Source organism: Homo sapiens, chromosome 7 (genome assembly GCF_000001405.40).
Source record: "Homo sapiens chromosome 7, GRCh38.p14 Primary Assembly".
Lineage (NCBI taxonomy): Eukaryota > Metazoa > Chordata > Mammalia > Primates > Hominidae > Homo > Homo sapiens.
The window spans coordinates 33,914,763-33,938,492 of NC_000007.14; the positions used below are offsets into that span (position 1 = coordinate 33,914,763).

General features: G+C 43.7%; 1 protein-coding gene across 3 annotated transcripts in view, besides 1 other annotated feature; it reads left to right on the plus strand.

Moving 5' to 3' along the window:
• The window catches only part of BMPER (BMP binding endothelial regulator), a 251,513-nt gene that overhangs the window by 9,848 nt on the left and 217,935 nt on the right, over positions 1–23,730 (plus strand). For all 3 annotated transcript variants that reach the window (NM_133468.5, NM_001365308.1, NM_001410872.1), the window contains one exon: positions 22,527–22,626. In NM_133468.5, the coding sequence (NP_597725.1) occupies positions 22,527–22,626 (100 nt within the window). The remainder of the gene's footprint in view (positions 1–22,526; positions 22,627–23,730) is intronic.
• Positions 18,146–18,412: a silencer, noted in NCBI's record as "fragment chr7:33972520-33972786 (GRCh37/hg19 assembly coordinates)". NCBI's record gives its function as "represses an EF-1alpha promoter that drives an FKBP-Casp9 reporter gene in an ReSE screen in HepG2 liver carcinoma cells {active_cell/tissue: HepG2}" and the evidence as "EXISTENCE:reporter gene assay evidence [ECO:0000049][PMID:32094911]".

A 23,730-nucleotide genomic window follows, 5' to 3' on the forward strand; every position in this document is an offset into this window, starting at 1 on the left:
GAAAAGGAGAAACCTGTGAAAGAGATGGAAAAATTATAGAGGCAAGAGGAGAACCAGGAAGGTACATGCCAAGGCAGAAGACGTTTGAAGAAGACAAAGACTAGTGGCATTAAACATTGCAAAGACCTGGAAGATTCTAGGAGGATGTCAAATAAGGAACTTTCTCATCTTCTTGGACTATTTGAAACAATGAACAATGGTCCCTTCCCCCCAGACCCTGCGTATTTGCACATGGGATTGAATTGATCATAGATGAGATTCAGTGGATCCCCAGTTGGCAGGAATCCAAAACTAAGATTGCTGTAGGGATTTTGAAAATTTAATGCAAAAATCACAAATTTTCCAAACTTTGACTTTAAAAGATCTTAACAAAAGTGAATAAATACCACATGAAATTTTAAAAGGTACCCAAACAAAACTAATTTCACGGATAACAGTAATATGCTTTTTGCAAACGTCATTGGAATGTTTCTATAGTTAAATGTAAAATGGACCAGGCCACATTGAGGGATTTTTTATTAGGAATAAAAGCAACAATATAAAAGAGTCTGACTAATATAAAAACTTACTATTGTAAACTTTTAAGTTTGCTCTATTAAACTGTTAATGATGCTTTAAAAATATTACGATATAATTTAATGTCTTAAATTCTAGGTCTTCAGGTAAGATATTTTCTTTTCTCATGAAATGTTTAAAGCCCATTTTGTCAGTGAAGTGCAGCTGTGGTGTGGGGGCCTGAATGTATGCCTGAACGTATGTGTGTCTGAATGTATGGGTTTGAGTCTCACCTGGTTGCCTGGTAGCTGTGCACCACTGAGCAGACACCTTACCCTCTCTGAGCCTTCATTGTGAAGTCTGGGACAAGTCTCAGTGGTATATGCCCTTCATCCGACTTAAATGGTTGGCTGTGGGCATTAACTGGGGTGATGGGAATGGGTTAAAGGCCAAGATGTGTGTGAAAGCTGTTTGTGAACAGTGTAAATGAAATTGTTATTAAGGGCAAGAACTTGAATAGAAGAAAGTGAAGTGTATGCCATAAACCACTTTTCAGCAACTACTTCAGTGAATATATTCTTTGGGAATGATAGCTTAGTGGTTCTCATTTCTACCCTTTAATAGTTGTATGGCTTTATGTAAATTGCCTAACATTTCTATATCTCAACATCTCTATCTTCATCATGAGGCTCTTGTCAGAATTGTAAGTTACAGCACAAAAAATTCTCAAAACATGGTCTGGGCCGTGGTCGGCACTTTAGAAATGATAGCTACTTCCACCATTGAAGTGTCATGGAATGACTGCCTTTGCCATACTTTAAATTAAATGGACTGTATTTATGGCAATTTATTGTCAACACCTATGAAATGTGTTTATTCTGAATTTTTCTCAGGGTAGACAATGGAAGGTCAGAAGAGGCGACTGCTGCTTTTCTGTTAAAGATGGGAAACCCTGGTACTGTTTGGGGCTTAGGAAGATGGGTTGCTCCTCTATTTTTTCTTTTCAAAGCTTCACCTGCTTAACTTGTGCCAATTTACAAACAACGAATCAGAGTGTTGTTTTCTCAGTGAGGCCCAGTTGTCCTCTGCAGTCCTTGCCATTAAATCAGGAAGTGGCAGGTAGGAGGCAAAAATGTCAAACAAGTGACCAGTGGGCCTGCTGAGCCTGAAGCTTCTGAGTCGTCTTCATTTTAAAGAGTGTGATGTGGCCAGCATCCTGCTTTCCAGCAAACCACAGGCACTAGTGCATACCTGTGGGATTGGGCCTCCTTCTAGAAAGGGCAAGCCCAGATGAACTGGTGTGACTGGATTTGGACATGTGGGCCCTGCACATTCATACAGCCTTCTGTGCTTGGGACTAGAAGTCCTGCCAACTCCTCTAAGAGCCTGCTGCTGCTTCTTCTTGGTAATAGCATGTTCTGCCTTGTAGTGTAGTGAGTTGGGCGAATTCACGTCTTAAGGGATGGTGTCTTAAAGTGTAAGAACCTCGTCGTGGTCATCTCTGTCAGCTCCATAGCTTCAGCAAGAGGTCCACAACCTTGGGACTTGAGTGGGAGTTAGACTGGAGTTTCCTGTTTATAGTTGGGGTTGTTAACACTTGGGATAGCTCCCCCCAGAATGGAACTCCAAGTTCCAAAACATGATTCTCCCAGAAAGTTTATCACAGAAGGTCAACCTCCTCTATAAAAGACATCCTAAATAATCATTATATAAACACTGTCTTTTTTTTGAAATGAATGTAATCACATTTGAAAATATAAGATCATATTGATATTTACATCTGCTCTTATTTGTGATAAAAGGAACATTCCCTTTTATAGAAGTAGACTGTTGTCAAAAGCAGAAATGTCCCTGACAAGGCAGGAGGTATAGACAAGGAAGGTTCTGGGGCGATCTGACTTCCACTTTCAAAAAGTCACAATGAAAAATGTCTCCCGATCCCTGGAGCTGGCATTCTCCAGTCATTTCCAGCCCCTTTCAGTGAGGCTAACTCTGAAATCTTGACACAAGCCTTCATGTTTATATTAGGTTTTGGATGTTAGCTCCCTTGGCTTCTGGGAGCTGACTCTCTTGAAAATTATGTTTTTCTTTTAAGGACAAAGGCCTTATTGTATGTACATGTCGTGTAGTGTAATGAGCTTTCTTTCTTTCTTTTTTTTAATGTTAGGTAATGGGTGGTACTAACCTACCTCTGCCAAATGAGAAGTTCAAAGATTTGTAAACTGACGGGCAATTATAAGGTTTCGTGCAGGTAACTCAGCAAGAGAAGATGAGAGGGTGGGATGGGTGGCATCTTCACTGACCACAGCATGTCCCCCAAATGCCCTGCTTCAAGGGAATAGACATAACATGACTCTGAGCGAGGATATGCAGATAAATGATGGTACCCAGAGTCACTTCAAAGAGAAGGATAGAATACAAATAAGGAAGATAATGATCATTGCATTTTAACTTATGAAAACACGCCTTTCCAAAACAACTCTTGTATGCTTGGTCACATAGATAATATTTGACCAGATGATTTTTCATGGCTGCTAATGCTGTCGGCATAGGGCAAGCACCCTATTTTTAGACCCTGTGTGGTCAGTTGGCCACTCTGGTGGCACTACTGGCCTCTTTGGCTGTGGGTGACCTCAGAAAGGCTATTTTTAGTAGGGACAGCTTGGCCCATGGAAAGGAGGTATGAAAACCCAAAGCTGCTCTTCCATTTCTTTGGGCCTCTATAAGAAACATTTTTAGCATCGTTTATTTTTATTTTTATTTTTTGTAGAGACAGGGTCTCACTATCACCAGGGCTGACCTCAAACTCCTGGCCTCAAGCGATCCTCCTGCCTTGGCCTCCCAAAGTGCTGGGATTACATGAGTGAGCCACCACACCTGGCTAGGATCTTGATCTTAATTTCTTCCCCCTTTCTCCTTTTAAAAACCTATTTTCTGAGGTTCCTCTTTGAGGCATGTCTATGGACTGTAGCAATAACATTAATGAATGACATTTTAATTCTTCGCCATGTTGATTGCTCCATGTCTTATTAAGAGATACTGGGGGACCCAGTTTCCATTATTTTCTAATTGAACAGCGCCATTTGTGCCAAGATACTAAAATTGCTCCCCCTTTGCTCAGAGGGCAGAGGCTGCTCCACATCAGTGGCCTGTGGGGCTTGCAGCTTCTGCCTCCAGTAAAGCCTGCCTCATTCTGTTCCTTTACTGCCCAGAAATTCATGAATTCCAGAGACACTCACAGCCTGCTGGGTCTCTCCTGCTTTGTGGATTTATGGTGTAAAAGCAGTAGCATCAAGACATTCACATAGCAGTGTTTTTTTTGGTCTCAGGGGAACACTCTTTTCCTGAATGAGAGAACATGAAAGATGAAGCAGATATTCTCTCACTTGGGAGCCGCTATGCCAAAACAGTTAAGGTCTTGCCATGGGCTTCTGTTTATGCCCCTTGGGGGGAATGGGGCCCATTAGACTTGAGTTGTGGTAATTTCCTGTTTTCAAGCACATGTGAAACAATGATTCTGGTGCCCAGTGGGACCCACCAGAGGTCAGCTAGCCGCAGCTCCATTAGCACATAGATGAGTACCAGGATGAAATTCCTTGTCCCTTAGAGGTGACTCAAATGAGAAGTTGTGGAAGAGCTGGCTGGCAGGGAAGGGGGCAGGAATCTACCCTTTTTGTGCATCTCATTAGTCTGGGGTGGCTTCTGTTGGAGGAACCAGCCCTTTTATCTCCCTGCTGGGATGTGCTGGAAATGCATGTACCAGATGGTGTTGCTTCCTTTTCCTCCATGGGTGCACGTGTGTGGGGGGGAATTGTTAAAAACTGTGAATTTTTTTCTGTTTCATGTAAACCATATACTGACCAAGGGCAAAAAAAATTTTCTTAAATTACTTTGCATGTTAATGGGTCATGTTACAGAAATCTGGAGTCCCTAGATTTTGGAGTTATGAAATTTTTGATAGTTGTCTGATGTTGACCTATAGGAGCAGCAGTTTTATGTGGTTCAACCTAATGTATGCTTTGAGGACTTTTAGACTTTTTCAAGGGAGATATTTATCCTCCAGGTTATTGCAAGGGATATATAATCCTCCAGGTTATTGCGATGTACCTGAATGAGGGGGTATTTAAATTCAGAGTGAATTTGCACTGGGTTCATAAACTAAAGCCAAAATGTGGTGTCATAGTAAAATGCCTCTCAATCTGTGAACCTCCAACTCTGAATTAATGGGATCTTCTGTATATCCTCAAGACCCCTCTGAGGGTGGTGGGACAGTGGTGGAGGGAGGGGAGAAGCAGTGCTCAGGTTAGGTGGGGAGCACATGGTAGGAGCTCTGCAGGAAATGTGGGAATGGCATTGCAGGACTGGAGTAGGCAAATGATTGATTGATGGTCATTAAACTCAGCACACATTTATTGAGCATTTATGTTAATAATATCCTGAGGCACTGCAAGACAGGAGCAATGCTTTTTACATGAACAGAAGGGGATTAAATTATGGTTGAGATAGTTTTGAAGTTAGATGTCTTTTATTGCTTTAAAGTTCTTTGAAAATTGATTAACTTATGCAAGCCAGAGATATTAACTCTTGTTTGGAATATTCGATTAGTCAGAGCAACCTGTTAGTCCTTGACTGTGCTAGATTTTATAAGGTTATGTATCTGTGTACATATCTATCTATCTATCTATCTATCTATCTATATGTATTTATATAACATTTGGATAATGGTTTTAGTTTGGAAACTACCCTCTATCATTAGAATCTTAGATGAAAGTGTGAATGAATGTGTGATGAAACTAATAGTTGTGTATGTGTGCTGGGGGCCCATAAAATGGAGCCTGAACACTAGTGACAAGGGGCACACAATTCTGTTGCCCGATCTATCCCCTTCCCTGGGCCTCTGCCCCTTCCTCCCTCAAGTAGCCAATTTGGCTACTTGTCTTCTCTCACACAGTTGTAGGTCGTTAACAAGTCAGTGGTTAGAATTTTGCCTTTAGTTTCTTCTGTTCTCCCACCAGGGGCCCAGCAGTGGTGGCTCTCAGATTTTAATGTGTGTAAGAACCACCAGGGAAGGCTAAAAAATGCAGATTTCCTGTGTCCTGGTCCAGAGATCCTGATGGAGTAGGTCTGGCTGGCTCCTGTGCAGACCAGGGAAACTCCGTTGTGTTTTTTTTTTTTTTTTTTTTTTTGAGACAGAGTCTTGCTCTATGGCCCAGGCTGGAGTACAGTGGTGCGATCTCGGCTTACTGCAACCTCCACCTCCTGGGTTCAAGTGATTCTCCTGCCTCAGCCTCCTGAGAAGCTGGGATTACAGGTGCACACCACCACGCCTGGCTAATTTTTGTATTTTTAGTAGAGATGGGGTTCCACCATGTTGGTCAGGCTGGTCTTGAACTCCTGACTTTGTGATCTGTCCACCTTGGCCCCCCCAAAGTGCTGGGATTACAGGCGTGAGCCATCGCACCTGGCCAGAAAGCTCCATTTTTAATAAACCCTTCCAGTGACTTTTATGCAGTGGCCAATTTTTGAAACACTCTTTCCACCTGACATGTAATGGAAAGAGAAGGGTATATGAATATAAACATAAACATATATGTTTATATTTAAATCTTGGTTAGGTACAGTTGAAATTCTGTTATTGGTGTAAAACTTTATAATAGGTCAACTACCGTTTACGTAATGTTGCTTTCGTGGAACTTTTACACAATTATCTTGCACATTAGCTGTCTTTATTGAAGTGTTCTTTTCCTATTCATGTCATCTTTATCAAACCTCCTTTAGTCACCCAATCAGAATGAACTCACTTGTTCCTTGAAGACTTTATATTGGTTACTTTTTTATTATAACCCTTACTCCTCTCTCCTCTAGATTTTTATTGATTAGTTACATGACTTTCTCTTCTACTGGACTTGAAGCTTCTTCAGGGTAGGAATAGCGTCTAATTCTCATGATCAAAATATCTAGAACAGCGCCTTGCAAACTTTAATCTTAATAGCTATTTTGCGAACAAACAGTGTATTCATAAGCTGGGGATAGTCCAAACTTCATTTTCCTCAAAGCCACCCTGTGAGGTAGCGCTGGCATTCTTAAGAAACCAGTTTCATAGTTGAGCTCATTAAGGCTCAGAAAAGAAAAAGCAAGGCGAAAGTCCTACTGCAATCAGCGAGAGTTGGGACTGCAATTCAAGTACCAGAATTCTGTCCAATCCCAGGCAGAGTCCACAGAGCTCTCTTTCAGAGAATGCCACCTAACCACAAGGGTTGAGAGAATACCCCCCGGGGTCAGTGAGAGAGACCCAGCAAATAGCTTCCCTGGGGATTATGTTTTCAACAGTCCTTGCAGTCTAGTTAGGTAGGGTCCTGCCTGGCGCCTTTGGGTGGGACAGGCTGACCCGCTGGGCTGCTGCCAGTCTCTTCATGGGATGGATTCCCACAGGGATACGCTCTGTTTCCTGTGGTCTTTCTGGGATGGGTAGCAGCTGCAGGACGAAGCTGACGTGACGTTATGTTTGTTGCTTCTTCAGCATGAGCCAACTAGATGGAGCAATCTGACACAAAACCCAGGGTTTTATGACTGACCTAGTGCGCCAGCTGCATCTGGAGGAACCAGACGCAAACAACGCAGAGTTGAGGGCCAGGTGAAGCGGGATCCAGCTCCCCACTTCACCCCAACCCCTTCGACTCCTCAAAACCTCTGCAAGAAGCTATTTCCTTCGGCTGGCAACTTACAGCCAGCAGGTCCCTTCCTCGTGCAGAATAAAGCCATTCTGGGAAATTTTAGTTTTCTTCTCTCCCTTTTGCTGCCCTGTTTCTGCCCACACCTTTCTTTCCCTGCTGAGGGAGAGTGTAAAGTCAAGCCGACCAGGCTCTGATTCCCATCACCTTCACAGAATTCTGGTCATGTTGCTGGACAGTTTCCCATGCTTTAAATGGGAATCCTTTAAACTTATTTTTTTTGAATTAGCCTGGCATTCCATTGTTCCAGGGATTCATCTCCATCCTTAGTATTTTTTACCATGTTATTTTCTTTCTTTGTCATTAGTGCAGAAATTCCATGATGTCACCATTCCCCAAGTTTTGTGTCTAGTTTTTCTGTCTCAGCTTTTAATTCTTGAGTTCAGCCTGATACTGAAATATACAAAAGGCATTACAGCAGGCTGGCTGTTCCTCCTCCACGCAGCATGGCAGTTAGACATTTGCAGGGACGAGCTTGTCCAACTCACCTTATTTTATTGTTGTTGTTGTTCTGTTTTGTTTTGTATTAGGCTTTTAGAATCCTGAAGTCATGGTTTTTAGTTTCCGTCTCTAGTGATAAGCAGAAAAGAGGGATGAGGAAGGGGCTTTACTGGCCCAACCAGAAAGAGAAACTAAGAACCCATGACTGTATTCTCTCCCTTGGACACCCCTCAGTGTGCCACATGGAACTAGGCAAAACTGGATGATCTGGTGGAGAACTGGTGGAGACCCACCTGTGATCTTGATCAAAGGCTCAAGAGAGGGATTGCTGGGGTTAGCTAACGGGCTAGCTTGGAGCAGTGTCAAGTGTTCAGGTGGGGGTTAGTAAATATTTTTTTTTTACTAATGATGATGTGCTGATATAATTTAGCCTGGTGAAGATGATATCCAGGGGAAACTTTAACAACCTTCTAATATGTGGGAAGGAAATATTATGTTGAAAGTACAGAGAGGAGTACTAATCCCAAAATTGCAACACATTGCTAGCTTGTTTCTCCATTGACCTCTGTCTCTTACTCGCTTCCAGAGTGAGTCCCAAGATGGTTGTGGGGTCTTGGCTTCTCTGCTTCTTGGCCAGTGCCTGCCTGTATGTGTAGACTCTTCCCTAGATCCTTGGATCCTAGTTACCCTGCTGTAGATGAGTATCACGGTCCTAGTTTTGAGCCACATTTTTTGGCATGAGACATTATAAGAGGCCTCTGACTGTGGACTCTGTTCTCTCCCAGGCTTTGGCTTCAGGACTCAGTATAACAGAGAAGAAAAACTTAAATTGAGAGATTTTCCCTTTCCCTTTCTTTCTATTACTCCCAAGTGTTTAATGTCCCCTCCGCCACACACACCCGTCTGTAATACTCACCCAGCCTTTGGTCACTAAGCTCTAGTGGGTCTGTGCCCTCTTCTGTGGGGACATTGGTCCTAGACCTTTTCCCTGGAATTCTTAGGTCTTCTAGCCAACCAGAATTTTCCTAAACTTAAGTCAAATCAGATTTCCTCTGAGACTTAGGTTGGAAGGTGTGATAATTAGTAGTAGTGGGAGTAAGGAGTGGCCAGCAGTAGTCTAGGCAGCCTCTCCTGTGAGCCTCAAATAGTGGGTAGCAACCCTCCCATCCTGGGGTATCTTGGTCCCTAAAATACCTGGCACAGTGGCAGGTGCTGATAGAAGGTGACCTCTGGTGGTCACTGAATTAATGTAATGACCGCAGCCAGGGTCACTTACAGTTGTTCATGCACACATTTATGTGTCTATGTGGGTAAGGACTCACATATGGCGCTCTCTCAGCATTTATGTGATGGACTTATAAGCATTATGTTTTATTGGTTTATTTTTCTTTTTGGTGGATCTTCCTTATCTTTTCAAACTTTAAATATTGGAGGGTCCCAGGATTCAGCCAAGACGTTTTCTCTATTTATATTCATACCCTGAGCAATTTTATACAGATCCATTGCCTAAAACCACTGGTATGCTGATAGTTTCCACATCTATGTTCCCACACCCCCACCTGCAGTCCAGCTGCATCTGTCCACGTGTCTACCTGGTGTCTCCACGTGGATGTTGAGCAGGCATCTCAAACTGAAAATGGCCTGAATGGAGATCTCCTTTGTCACCACTCCTTAAACCTAGTTTGCTCCAGCCAGTGACATCAGCTGCATGGCTCCATTTTTTCAGGCCATCCATCAACCATGGGGTCCTGGATTCCTCTTTCTCTTACATCCCATGTTCTATTCATTAGCAACTCTTGTCAGTATAGTCTTGAAAATAAGTTGGATTATTTCTAACTACCTGTTACTGCTCTTGACTTTGGACAATATGTTATCAACCAGTGACCATTTGAAAGTATACAAATTATTTGACTTACTTGAGCAAAATCTTCCCGTGGCTTCTCCTCTCACCCGGAATCCAGCTTGAAGAATAACCACTACCTACATGGCCCTGCGCGCTGCGGCTCCGGACGCCATCTTGGCCTCAGCTCCCAAAGCACCTTCCCCTCTCACCGTGCTCCAGCTGCGCGCTGTGCTCCTCCTTACTCCTACGGGATACCCAACCCCCTCTCCACTGGAGCTTTGCTCTTTCCAGTGCCTGGAGCACACATATCCAATATATTGACGTATTCTCCTTCCTTCACTGAGGTGTAGGAGTAAATGTCTCCTTAATAGAGGGTATTTTCTTTATTTCTTTCTTTCTTTTTTTGAGAGGGGAGGACGAAGTCTTGCTCTGTCGCCCGGGCTGGAGTGCAATGGCGCAATCTTGGCTCACTGCAACCTCTGCCTCCCGGGCTCAAGCGATTCTCCTGCCTCAATCTCCTGAGTAGCTGGGATTACAGGCACGCGCCACCAGCTAATTTTTGTATTTTCAGTAGAGACGGGGTTTCACCATGTTGCCCAGGCTGGTCTTGAACTCCTAACCTCAGGTGATCCACCTGCCTCGGTCTCCCAAAGTGCTGGGATTACAGGCGCGAGCCACTGCACCCGGCCTAAAGGATCTTTTTCTGATCACTGTCTCCAACAGCCTCACACCTTGTTATTCTGTTCCCTTGTCCCGCTTGATTTTCTCAGAGCCCTCCCTAGTGCCCATGAGATCATGCGTGGGTGTGTTCCCTGCAGTCGTCCCTGCTAGAACGTCAGCCCTGTGAGGACATGGCCCTCCCATGTTCATTTGTACCCTCAATACGTGGGACAATGCTGGGCTTATTCAGTGCATATTTGTTGGGCGAATTCATCTTTGCCATTGGGTTTAATTTTTTGATTTGGTAATTTGAAGATCTAACTATTTCTCTTCCCCAAAATAAATGATGAACTTTTCTTTGTACTCTAAACTTTGCTTTTTCGGTCATGATGACTTGCCCTTTTCGTAGCTTACATTATTTTGGGTATCATGTTTGATGGTGGGAAAACTAAACAAATCCACTGAAAGATGAAAAGTTGTCTCCAATGAACACTAATGTAATCATAACAAACTGTGCAATGAGCAATATAATTCTAGAATAAAATTATTTCCTATAGAAAACTGGTTTTTAAAAATAGATATTACCACTCATGGTGGACTTGGTAGCATGATAATTATTGGTTTTAGAATGTAAGTTAAAATCCAGTATGTTATGTTTTATATTTTACCTAAAACATAGATGAAAGACTAGCAAAGTGTGTTAAATATTACAATTTCATAGAGCAAGAAAATCGTGGCACAAGATAAGCACCCCTTATTTTCCTGTGATATATGTGAAACAAACTGTTCTACTGCTCAAAATGCCAAGTGAGGTTGCTACACTTCACTTGGAGTGCACTGGAATGTCATCAAAGAAGGAGATTCATTTGTGAATTGTCAATCCCAAAACGCTGACAGATGTAGGTCAAATTCTGTCTCAGTGAGATAATTGTATAACAGAACTTTTTAAAGGCTCATTTCAGTGGGCCACGTAGTGTCTAAAGAACCAGGAGACTTTGGATGATTTCAAGGAGTTTGTGGCAGTGGAATTTGGTCAAAACTGACGATTCCTGCCTCGCGTCTGAGCTTCTCTGAGCTGGTAACCAGCACTTCTTGCCCCTCATGTTGCAACATGGGAGGTGCCTGTGCTGTGTTTATGCTTTAGTCTCTCTCCCTCTTGGATTGTAAGCTCTTCTAGGGCAGAAGATGTGTCTGATTCATATTTTCTGTTCCCATCAAAACCTGGCATAGTACCTGGCCTGCCATAGGGGCTCAAAAATATTAGTTAAACAGATTCGTGTATTTTTGGTCAGATAGATCTGAAATCTGCAGTGATTAACCTGCAGAAAAACCCAAGTTTATAGCCCCATGCCACATGTTTCTAATAGCCATTTGTTTTTCTGCAGAAATTTTTGCCTTATTTTAGATATGCTAAAGCTTCTGGAAGCCGTTTTGTGATGGAACCCTTGTTAAAATTAATGATTAAGGGTTCTAATTATGGTTGATATTTTCCTTTAAAAAATGGGCACATGTTGTGAATCCCTTCAGCAACAAGTTTATGTTGATAATGTTTTGTGTGTAATTGGCCACTCTCGTTTCTTTATAACACCTTAATCTCAGAAATGGATTATTTGCAAATCTGGCTTTCTTTGATGGTTTAATGAGTTTGCAAATGGACACTAGTGGATTAAAATTACATTCTAAACTGAGGAAATAAATCTGTGGCTTCTCCAGTTTTTTTCTGACATCTGCATGTGATCCTTGGGAAAGCTTTGGTGAAGAGAACACAGTGCTAATGGCCTTGGTGAATGAGTCAGACAAACCTTAGCTCACAGAATTGCCTTCATACAGGGGACGCTGTCCAAGGCTGACATTTTCAGTTCTGCGAACTTCTAGCCAGCTAGAGAGCTCCTATTCCCTTGCTTCCCTACCTGACATTACTTGGGCTAACTGGACAACCTCTGTAGTTGGTACCAACGTAAATATAGCCTGGGAGCAGAGATCTTTCCAGCAACTGAGATGTCACCCCGCTCTTACTGTTACCCAGAGGGAGGACTGCAGGATCCAGCTCTAAAGCTGATCGGCTTTTCATCCCGGGGGGACCTTTGAAAGGCTCTGTGATTGCTGGTGGTCAGGGTCAATTGTGCAGATGTCTTTAAGAGTGTCTCACTGGTGACCAGAAAGTTACTTTGTCAAAATGACAGATGGGCTGTGAGCGGCTCCTCCGCCCTGCCTAATCCCATGGATGTCAGCTCCATTTACTTGTCAAGATCAGGTATTTTTGTAACTCCCAACAGCACGTGGGCTTTCACGGGGCAATCTGTGAAAAATCTTCTGTTTCATTGGCTCTGTGGCTTGTTGTTGACCCACAGGAATGAGAGACACCTGAGGACCTGGTGGGTTCACTGTAGGTACGTTATCCAGGAAGGAGACATGCGCTGATGACAAGAGTGACAACCTTCCAGGGCTGGCCTCACAGAGATATGGTTTTGCCACCACCAATTGCCAAGGGAATCTAAGATATTTTGTTTCTGTGATTTGTACATGCTCACTCTTCTTCTACCCTTGACAGAGAGTCATTTCTGTGCATATTTAAAAGGTCCATTGAGTCATCTTTCTTTTGATACCAGACAGCCCATCTTCCTATATTGCAGTAAGTCAAGAAAGGGGCTGTCAAAATAATATCTCCAGCTATCACCTTCTTTAATGTCAGGTCTCGAGCTTTCCTATGGAGTTACCTAATATTATTACCACTTTTAAACTCTTTACCCCCACTCCCCACTCCCTCCAAAATCCCTACCAACCTGGCCAGAAGATTCTGCACTGTCACCCCAGGACTGGAAAGCCCCAATAATGCCTTCTGAGCCCCGGATCCTACAGGTAGTTGGAGTTGGACCCCCAAAATGTGGTTCATCATCTTCTACTTAGTTCAAAAGAACTCACCAGAAAGGTATAAAAATATTCATAGAGTTTCATCACCCCTTTCCTTTTTGTTTTCCTTTTGGGCAGAGGAAGAAGCAGATTTATTATTCATCATGTGCTGAAGGGCGCCCAGCAGTGTAAAATAACCAGAGGTGTTGAGGAAGCAGCCTGGCCTCCTGCGTGTGAAGCTGCATTGCTTTGCAGGGCTTCCTTCTCCTTCACCCCTGGCCTGCAGATTCTTCCCAGGAGTCTTTTGGAAGTGTTCTCTGCCGCACCGACCCCATCCCACATCCCAGCTGTTGGAGTCTCTTCTGTTAGGAAGAGAGAAGGGTTGACTGAGGCATTTGGGCCCAGTAAAGGCAGGACGCCACCATGAACCCTCTCGGTTCACATGCCTGGCAGAGTGAGTTGCAACCTACCTGTTGGTTTTTTGTTTGCTTTTGGGAACTGAGCACGGTGGCAGAGCTGCATCTGTGACAGGGCCCACGGGGCTCGATCCCTGGCTCTGCGTGTTCCCTCCATTCCAGTTACACAAATGTGCTGTTGCCAGCAGACCCTTTGCTTATACGACGCGCAGTCTAATAAAAAACAGGCAGTGCTACTCTCTTTTGGGCTACTATTTTTATTTGGTGGTTGTTTTTTTTTGTGTTCTGCCATCTCTAATGTTTTGGTTCCATTTCAAAATATGATTAAACAGAATGAGGAGCTGTTTGACACTGCCCTGTTTTAAATCAGACTTCTACTTGAGCAGCCAGGACACTCTAATGGCCTGTGTTTCTTTGTTCCGTGAGTTTCTTGAAAAAGCCAAAAAAAAAAAAAAAAAAAAAGCCAGACCTAAATCCTTAAACAGAATAGGACCCAAAACAATCCCTCCAACAAACTAAAGCCCATTAAAAAAAAATGGAATAGTTAGGTAACGTAAATATCAGAAGGGCCTCCTTATTAATCCCCCATTGCCTCTGCTGGCACGTGTCATATTTTCAAGGTATAGGATCAGGAGAACACTGTCATTTAGTGATGTATTAGGGCCATATATCATCAGAACATCGTCTTTGTAGGGGATATGGGTACTAAAAGACACGATTCTGGCCAGACAGAACCTCAGGGGGTCTTACTTCTTTCCTCCACCCCCCTGCCTTTTTCTTTAATCTCCCTCTGTTTTGTGTTGCAGAGAAGTGAATTTCTTCATGGGATATGACTTGTTGCAAAATAATCGGGGGGCCCCAGTGGGCTTCATAAAGTCTTTTTAAATGTTCGGGCTTCAAGGGCAGCTTTGTTCAGAGTTTGCACTGTGAGCTGGGCCGGAGGAGGCGTGTTTGCCAGGGCCTGGGTCTCTGGGGTAAAGACTCGTTGAGCCTAGACAGGAGGGAAAAAGAATAACACTCCCAGATGGAGTGCAATGAATTGCATGATGTTCTTGCAAGACATTTTAACATTAAGTCTACAAAATTATGGCCGTGGGATGCTGCAAGCCTCCCAAGAGAGTACACTCTTCTGCTCAAATCAAAGAAGAAATGAGAGGACTTGGCAGGTTCGGGTCCAGGTTTTGGTCAGCCTTGCAAATGACCAGGCACTCAGAGACTGGGACTTGTTTTGAGTTTTTAAGTCAGAGATTTAATCTGTCTTTCCTAAAAGGCATTATTTTTACTTCTGTGTTCAGAATGAAACCATAAAGCACCAAGGTTTATAAAGGTCTGAAAATGGGGTGCTCAACAAAGGCAAACATTTAAATTCTTAGCTGCAAGGGAAAGGTGGCTCACTTAGCCTCTAAATGAAGCTATATAGCATAGTGATGAAATCATAGGCTTTGATATCAGAGTCCTGGGTTTGAATCTCTGCCCTGGCTAGCTATGTAAACCTGGGTGAGCCGTTTAACCTCTCCGTGCCTCAGTTTACTTACCTATAAGATGTGATGGGAAGTAAATCAGTGCCTTCTTCAGGCTTGTTTGCAAGGGTTAAATGACAAAATACACAAAACATTTTCAGCATGGTGGGGCATATAATAGATTTCCTATAAATGTCAGGTGTTATTATTCTTAATAGTTCAGCAACCTGCCTGGAAAACACTATGTTACTTCATTGTTTGGTTAGAGATGGATCAGCTTTGTTTGTGGCCCTGACTATGGAAGGGATTTGCAAAAGCAGTGGAGGTTGGGGTTGCAGAAAGGTCTGGAAATGCCACTTTACGTTAAGGGCTTGAGGTATATTGTGCAAAGGGCCACAGTTGACACCTCCCATCTCTTGGACTAAACTCAGTTGGGAAAGAGGTCTTGGGTGAAACCACTTCTTTCAGCTGGGGAGTTTGGGTCCTTTTCCCTTTCAGCTTCATGTTCTTCATCTTAGAAATGGTTTTCTTCATGTTGTCTTTCTATTTTTTTTCAAGTTCTGTTGAGTTGAGAGACATGACCCAGAGCCTTGGACTTGTACACTTAGGGTTTGTGGCTGACCAAACTGCCTTTTATTTTTTTCTTCCAGATATTTCTGTGTAAGAGTTATGGGGAAGTCAATTTTACTATCAGTAATGAAGAATGAGCAAGCAAAAGCTTAATTAAAATAATAAATCATCAATCAAATTTAATACTGCCATTGGCAACCACTGGGCTATCTCAGGGCCCCCCTACCCATGCTCCATTATTATTTTCCAAGAGACTGAGAACAGACTTTGTCCAAAGGAGACAGGCTGGAGCAGGTATAAGCTTGCATTCTCTCCTGTCTGTGAGTTCATGCTCGTTTGCTCAGGATTTCCCCTGACCGAATGTTCTAGAGAGGTCATCACTTCATTTTACAATTTCCAATGATCAGAACTGCTGATAAGCAATGAAATCTCACTGGGTTCAGTGGCTCACAGCTATAATCCCAGCACTTTGGGAGGCCGAGGTGGAGGATCACTTGAACCCAGGAGTTTGAGACCAGCCTGGGAAACATAGTGAGGCCTTGTGTCTACAAAAAAATAAAAATAAAAATAAATTAGCAAGGCATGGTGGTACATGCCTGTAGTCCCAGCTACTTCTGGAGGCTGAGATGGGAGATTGTTTGAGTTTGGGAGCTTGAGGCTGCAGTGAGCCATGGTTGTGCCTCTGCATTCCAGCCTGGGTGATGGAGCAAGACCCTGTCTCAAAGAAAAGCAATGAAATCTGGCCCCTTTGGGTCTTTGGTTGCTGCCAACACACTTCTTTTTTCAGCTTTTGTTTCCGTCTCTTCATTCTAGAACCTTGGCTTAAAGTCTGGTCTGCTTACCCAAGTCCTGGGTAATCCCTTACATGGTACCTCTCATAGGTTACCTTGTACTAGGGCAGAAACGTGGCAGGAGACCTCGCCTGTTTGGCCCAGGTGGCCTGTCCAGAAAATCTGCAGACTAGCTTAACTACATACTAGTCTGTTCCTAAAGTCTCAACAGCCTATTGGAGCTAACCTAATTTGAATATGATACTTCTGTACATTTTAGTGCTGTGCTTTACAAACTAACCTTCCCAGCTGATCCCGTAAGCCAGGCTGGGAACTGGGTTCTGTTCCCAGGTCCACTGCTAGCTGCCTCTTTGAGGGATCTGAGACAGCCTCATTGTGTGCCATTTCTCCATCTGCAAATCTTAAGAAACCTGTGAGGATTAATGAAATAATGTCTACAGAGATCTTTAGAAGAAAGCTGCTATGTAAACCTGAAGTATTATTCTTCTGTTTATGAGAAGTGGTATAATATTGCCTGGGAGAAATTGTGACCTGGGTTCAAAAGTGCTAAAAAGTTCTCTTGGGCTCTTTGGGATCTGGAATTGGGTTACAATGGGGATACTTCAAGGAGAAGTTGACTCTTTGACTTCATACATAGAGAGACTAGAAATTCCGATGAGAATATACACGCTGATGTGGGATCAGCTTCCCCTGCTTCCTCCTCCTTGGGGCACTTGAAACAAGACATCCATATTCCTAACAACAAATTCCTATTTGAGCCATCTTGAGACTCTCCACATGGACCACTATTGTGTAAGTTCTCAGATAATAAAAATTTGAGTAAGCATCAAAATGTCCTATTTGTGCTCAGCAATGGTGATGGCTTTTGAATCAAGGTGAAGATCTCTTTCGTGCTTCTCACTGTGCCAGAAGTTACACCACAGTGTTTGTGTGATCTGCTGTTGTCTGTTGTCTTATTTTCCCCAAGAGCTTGTAGGTTTCTGGAGACTAGGAACCTTGCTGTATGATTTCTGTCTCCCTCCCGCAGCACTGAGTATAGTGATACGTGTGCCAAGGCTTTGTTTTTCAGCTTTAGAGCCTCCACTGCTAAGCAACTTTCCCTCTCAGAGTCGCCAGGCTGGGGCATCTATCCCAGGAAATTGGCTATTTGGGATGAATGTGGGTCTACCTCCAGGGGTATTTGTATTTTGGTGGGGAATTCTTGAAGGCAGCAAAATCTGTAAGCTCCTCCCCAACAAAGACTACCGGGATGGAATAACAGGGCACCCCGCCACTTTATTCCCAGCAGTCACACTACCTGGCCTGTGTGCTTCATTGACATATTGAGTATTGTTCACTCGGGCAGAAAAAAATACCACAACCTCACAGCCTTCTTAGTTTCCTGAAAAAAGATCTGTCACTTTGAATTTGCTAGTTTGCCAAATGACAGCTGTTTGCCTCCCAGGCAGGCTTTGCTGTCATCAGAGACAGGGATGGAGGGAAAATAATGCCATCATCTAGGGGAAGGGTCTTGTGTTGATCTTCAACATGGCTAACCAAATGGACGATCAGCAGGCAGACACGAGGTATTTTCATTTTCACTCTTATTTCAAGAGATTTGTGATGGTGTTTCATAGTCTAAAAATAAAGGATCCGCCCGCAGACATTTCTCCCTCCACTACCCTCATCATATTAGCTGCTGCGTTTTCCTCTCCAGATTTTGATTCTATTATTTTTTATTATAAATGAAAGGTCAAGGAATACTTTTCGTATTCCATAATAGGATTGGTTCTGGAAGAATCTTTGAAAAAAAAAATACGTTCAAGACATTGGGGCTGGGAATAGAACGGAAGCATCTCAAAAGCATGTTTTTCTGGTTAAGGAAAGCACACGAGAACGTTTCACAGCGGTGCTCTGCTATCTTCTCTGTACCCCTCCGCCCTACGCTCATGGGAGAGCTCATTTCTCTCCCCATCAGACACTGGGAAATACTCCCAAGGCTCTGGCAGTCTCAAGGCTGCAATTCCTGAGACCGGGGACTCTGTGCTGCCATCTCGTGGCAGATCTCAGACACAGCAAGCTGGCTGCCGGAATCCTGTTTGAACTTGGCTTGCGGCGGGAGCTGTGGTTTGGCTCAAATCCTTATAGAGCTTTGTTGCCAGTCATGTTGATTTTTAAAAAATGTTTTACTCCCTATGCCCCCCTTTTAGTTTTTCATGTTGGCACTTCATTTAATGTGCCTCCAGAGGCTACATTTTGGGTTTTGATGTGTTTGGTCAATGTTAAAGAATCGGTTAACTATCTTCCTGAAAGAAGGCAGTAATGCAGACAGACGCCTTTGACAGCAGGTAGACCACTGGCTGGCAACCGTAGAAAGAGGGACACACGGGAGACTAAGAATGAAAGATGCAGTAAGGTTTATTGCTCTTATTCATTGGTTAGGTTTTTTTTTTTTTTTTTTTTAGAGTATTCTGACCTTTTCCTTGAGTGTATTTTTGCTACCATTTCTCTTGTTTAGATCTGGAGAGACTCAAACTCAAGCTGGGATTTGGGGAAAAGTGTTTGAGGATGCCAGTCTGGCTTTCAGAGGCATGATAGGCACATCTCTGTTGATATCCAAATTGGAACAACTTTCCTTGTTACCAGAAAACAGCTGGTGTCTGCAGACCTTCCCATGGTTGGCCATGACACAGGCCCCTGGAGTTGCTCTGCTTTCGTTAGAGAGTTCCTGTCTGGAGCCACCAGGAAGACACCAATCTCCCCTGGGGCCTGAGGGCAGGATCATTATTTTGTTCTCTTCTGCATCCTGAATGCCTGGGAAGGCATTTAAATGACAGGCCTCTATTTGTATTCCAGATCTGTGTCTTGGGTGACCCTGGGCAAGTTTCCTAACATTGATCCCTCCTCTGTAAGATGGCGATCATTGGGAATTTTTGGTGAAAAAAATGCACATAAGATTCTTAGCACAGAGCCTGAACACACAGAGAATGAGTTCAGTAAGTGTGAGCCAGTATTAGAAAATGTTTCTTGAATGAAGATGTGAACGGAATGAGCCCTGAACTTGAGTCACAGTGGTGACACATAGTGCATGTGGGGATGAGGCAGCCCAGGGGGTGAGGGAGTCCTGAAGGCATGGCTTTGCGTGTGCCACTTCTCTCCAGAGCCACTGGCTCAAGAACAAGTGTTTTTGTCTCTTGGCAAAATTGGGAAAGTGAATGGAGTGGTCTTAATTAACCTGTGTTTGAATTTACTCTGTAGCTGCTGGACTCAATTAAGGAAATGGAGGAATCAGGCTCTCACCAGCAATTCCCTGAGCTTTTAAAGTTTTTTCTTGGAAGGCCTGGGATTCCAAAGACTACTCCACATTCACACCAATCAGACACCAGGGCAATGATCAGATATGGCAGTTCTGTACCAATGTGACCGTTGATAGAATATTTAAAAACTCCCAGTGTAATCAGGGGGAAAAAACCCACTAAACCTACAGCTAAGGTTTAGGTTTGTTCTATGTGTGTGTACAAAAAAAAAAAAAAAAAAATCCAGATGTGAATCTACAAACCATCTGGTTGGAATAACTTTTGTGCTGGACTGTAATTACAAACTATTTATTATGAATCTTGGGATCCTGTTATGGATTTTGACTGGCTCCCAGGTTTCTAAGTCAGCAGAGTTCCTATATTTAAGCGAATGTGTGCCTTCCTATTTATCAGATCCCAGATTGTGCCATCACTTTGACTGCCCTGAGAGCTTTGAACTCTCTGTATCTGAAGATTCTTCCCTTCAGAGAGGAGATGCGCTTGGGAGTGGCCCTTGGCTAAGGCCGCAGCCAGGTTGCAGCCAGGTTTGCTGAATGCATAAAGCCATACAGTCCTGGTAACAGAAGCTCTGTTAATGAAGTTCTTTCACAATTCTCTTGGGGTGGGAGAGTCGGTATAAAATTTAGCTTGCAAGAACTACGCTTTTCAAAATGAAGTCACTGTCAACAATACCAAGCAGCATACATACCTGGTGGCTATCTGTGATGACTTTGGTGGGAGTTGGGAGAGATTATTAATTTGTAAAAAATATGTCTCTTTATTTTGAATGGTGACCATAACAATGTATGACCTTTGTAGTTTAAGAAAAAATTATAAAAATAAATCTAAGGGCTGTGCCTTATAGTTAGCCTTGATGCCACCATTATCATGGAGAAAAGGGGGTGAGGGAAGGAGTTCTGGGGAGCGTGGAGCCAGTATGCTTGGCTTCAGATTGTAGGTCTGCTGTTCACAAAGGGACTGTGGACAGCTCCTTATCCCAGCTCAGCCCCAGTGGCCACAGAAATACTCTCCCCTGATGGCAGTGGTTCTCAACCCTAGCTGAACATTGGAATTACCTGGGAGCTTGAACAAATACCCATGCCTGGTCCTTAGATTAACCAGATCTGAGCTTCAGGGGGTGGGAGACCATGGCAGTCTTTGTTAAGAACTCCACAGGGGGTTGTAATGTGCAGCTAAGGATGAGGGCCCCTGTCTCACAGGATTTTAAGAGTAAATGAGGTCAGCCCCTTGAGGGCACTTACCATATAACAGATCCCAAAAAAGAAAGAGAGAAAGAGACAGAGAGAGAGAGAGAGAGAAGGAGAAAGAGAGAGAGAGAGAGACTGGATGACTCAGGTCACCCTCCCATCATAAGGACAACCAGTAAATGAAAAAACAAAACAGCAGCAGCAGCCCCTGCAGGTGTGGGGTGCAGGTGGCTGTGGATCGATGCCCTTTCTCTGGGTGTCAGACAAGTCCTAGGACAGTTTCAGGAGAATATTCACCACATTCATTCCAGTGTTCCTTAACAGAAGTGAGTGTCATTTTCTATATGTGCCATTCAGTGGACAAGTTTGAGCAACACCGGTCGTGGCTTATTGTTTCTGTGCCTCAGTTGGCCTTGCAAAAGCCACGAGGGCAGGGAAATAACAGGGCTGATACGGAAACAGCTGTGGGCAAGGCAAGGCCCAACCCTCCCCGTAGAACTCACTCTCAGCTCACACACAAGCTCGCAGGCACATATGCACATGCACACCCACACACACACACACCTGCAGGCTCGCATGTGTCTCCTTGGTTCTGAGCAAGAAATGGTGAGATCTTCTTAGTCTCATGACATGGAGGCATACTGGGTACACTTGAGAATTTTCTCAAATTTGTTATCAGGGCTGAGTTTGGTTTTCTTCTTTATTAATACATATGCCAAGAGAGTTCTAGGTTCATTTCAAGGTGAGCAGAGCCGGCCAGTTGCTCCTCTCCAACCTGCCCCGAGATGAGGCACTGGTAGTGCTTGCTGTTATCCAGGGAAGGGCATAGGTGTGCACACATTTATATCTTCATCTCGAGTTCCATCTCTCCCACTGGAAAGCTGGGTAATCTTGGAAAAGTCAGCTACCTTCTCTGAGCAGCAGTTTTCTTGTTTGCAAAATGGGGATAACGATACTGACCACACAGAATTTTAGTGAGAATGAAAGCCACATCAGCTAGCATGTGGTCGCCGCTTGATAAATCTCACATTTTGTTGAATTTTTTGAGACAGTATTTTTGGTTCAGGTGCATACAATCCATATACAAACAGGCATATTCATCATGTTTGTATCTTCTTTAAGACATTTTAACAGCTAACCTTTCAGGAAAAAACCAAAGATGCAAATGTTCACCACATGTTCATTAGCATAAGTGCTAATATAACACAGCTGTCCCACAGCTAGAAAACACTGACGTCCATGTCTCTGCTTGGCATGTAGAATATTATTTTTTCTTTTACCAAGCCGATCCAATATTCAACTTTGTCATTATTTGAGTTGGAACTTTAGATTGCTGCATTTTAATGCACTCTACTATTAAGGATTGTTGGACGGCCATGTGAAAATATTTTTGTTCTCACGATGCAGTCCTGGCCCAGGTAGCCCAACAGGCAAAATATGGTTTACACAAATATTATCGTTTCTGTAGTGTGTACTAAAAAGAAACCTTAGAATCTGAAGGAGCGGGAGAGAACTTCTCCCTTGGCAATCGGTTATCTAGGTGAAGCTGGCTTTGTAAAGAAGGGACTTTTCATCTCCTCTCATCTGACTCTGATCTCCAAAGTCCTGTGTTCCTGGATGGGTATTTCTGTTTCAGAGATGGCAAAATCCTATTTGCTCTCACAGCGTCTTCTTGCCAAGTGAAGGCCAGATAAGAGTGGGGCTCGGGAAACCTCTGTGGTGTGTTAGGATTTGGGGAATTCTGTTTGATGTCTATTTCAAATCTCTCGTGTCTCTTTTTGTCTAGAACAAGGAAGTGACATGTAAGAGAGAGAAGTGCCCCGTGCTGTCCCGAGACTGTGCCCTGGCCATCAAGCAGAGGGGAGCCTGTTGTGAACAGTGCAAAGGTGATTGATGTCTTGGCCGTCTTCTCTTCTGGCTGCTGCTTCAGGCATTTTTATTTCTCTTTCTCTCACCTTCCTTTTCACTCAGCTTTTGGCTGGGGTGCACATGGGTGGGGAGGAGAAGTAGGGTGTGTGTGTGTGTGTGTGTGTGTATGTGTGTGTTTGTGTGTATGTGTGTATCTGGGGCTGGAAGGAAGGGGGCTCTCCTGGAGGAGGGATGAAAGTATGTGAGCATCTTCATATTTGGTTTGTTTTCTAAGGCAGGTTGTTAAAATGTCGTAGAGAAGAGTCAACCACCATGCCTCTGCATATTTGTACACACACACATGAGCATATTTTGTCAACAAGTTTCAACACTCAGTTTTTCCAGGCTCCACACTCACCCTGCCCACCTCTGCCAGAGAAGTCTTTAAGCCTGTATTTTATCATTTTCGTCCTCATTAAAATTTTCCTTTCCTTCCAAATTAGATCTAAGTCCCTCCGCCTGTCTTTGAAGCATCTCTAACATCTCCTTACTCCAGCCTCATTTTCCATCACCCTCCAGCCACATGCTCCTTCTGGAATGTGCTGTTCCTAGTCTCACCTCTCTCTTGGCCTTAGTGTGGGTCTTTTTTCCCAACCTGTCCAGGTGCTGCCTGTGCTCAAGGTGCTCAGCCCTCATCTGCCACATTCCCCTTTAGATTTCTATGGCCTCTAGAAGCCCACATGGATACCGCAGTGGTGTGATTTTCCCCCTCTGTGGTTTCATGTAGATCGTCAACTCCCTGGGGATTTCACACCGTGTATGTGTCAATAGCGCTTCACAGTGTGGGGCCATGCAGGAGGCAACATTAGCCCAGTGTTCAGGGTGTGGGCTCTGGAGTCACCCTGCCGAGTCAGAATCCAAGTTTACTGGGTGGCAGAGTGTTCCCCAAATTTCACATCTACTTGGAAGCTCAGAATGTGACCTTGTTTGGAACTAGGCCCTTTGCAGATATAGTTAATTAAGATGAAGTCATGCTGAATTTGGGTGGCCCCAAATCCAATGTGACTTGTGTCTTTATAAGAAGAGGAAGAGACAGAGACAGACAGAGACACACAAAGAGTGGCAGAAGCTGGAGTGATGCT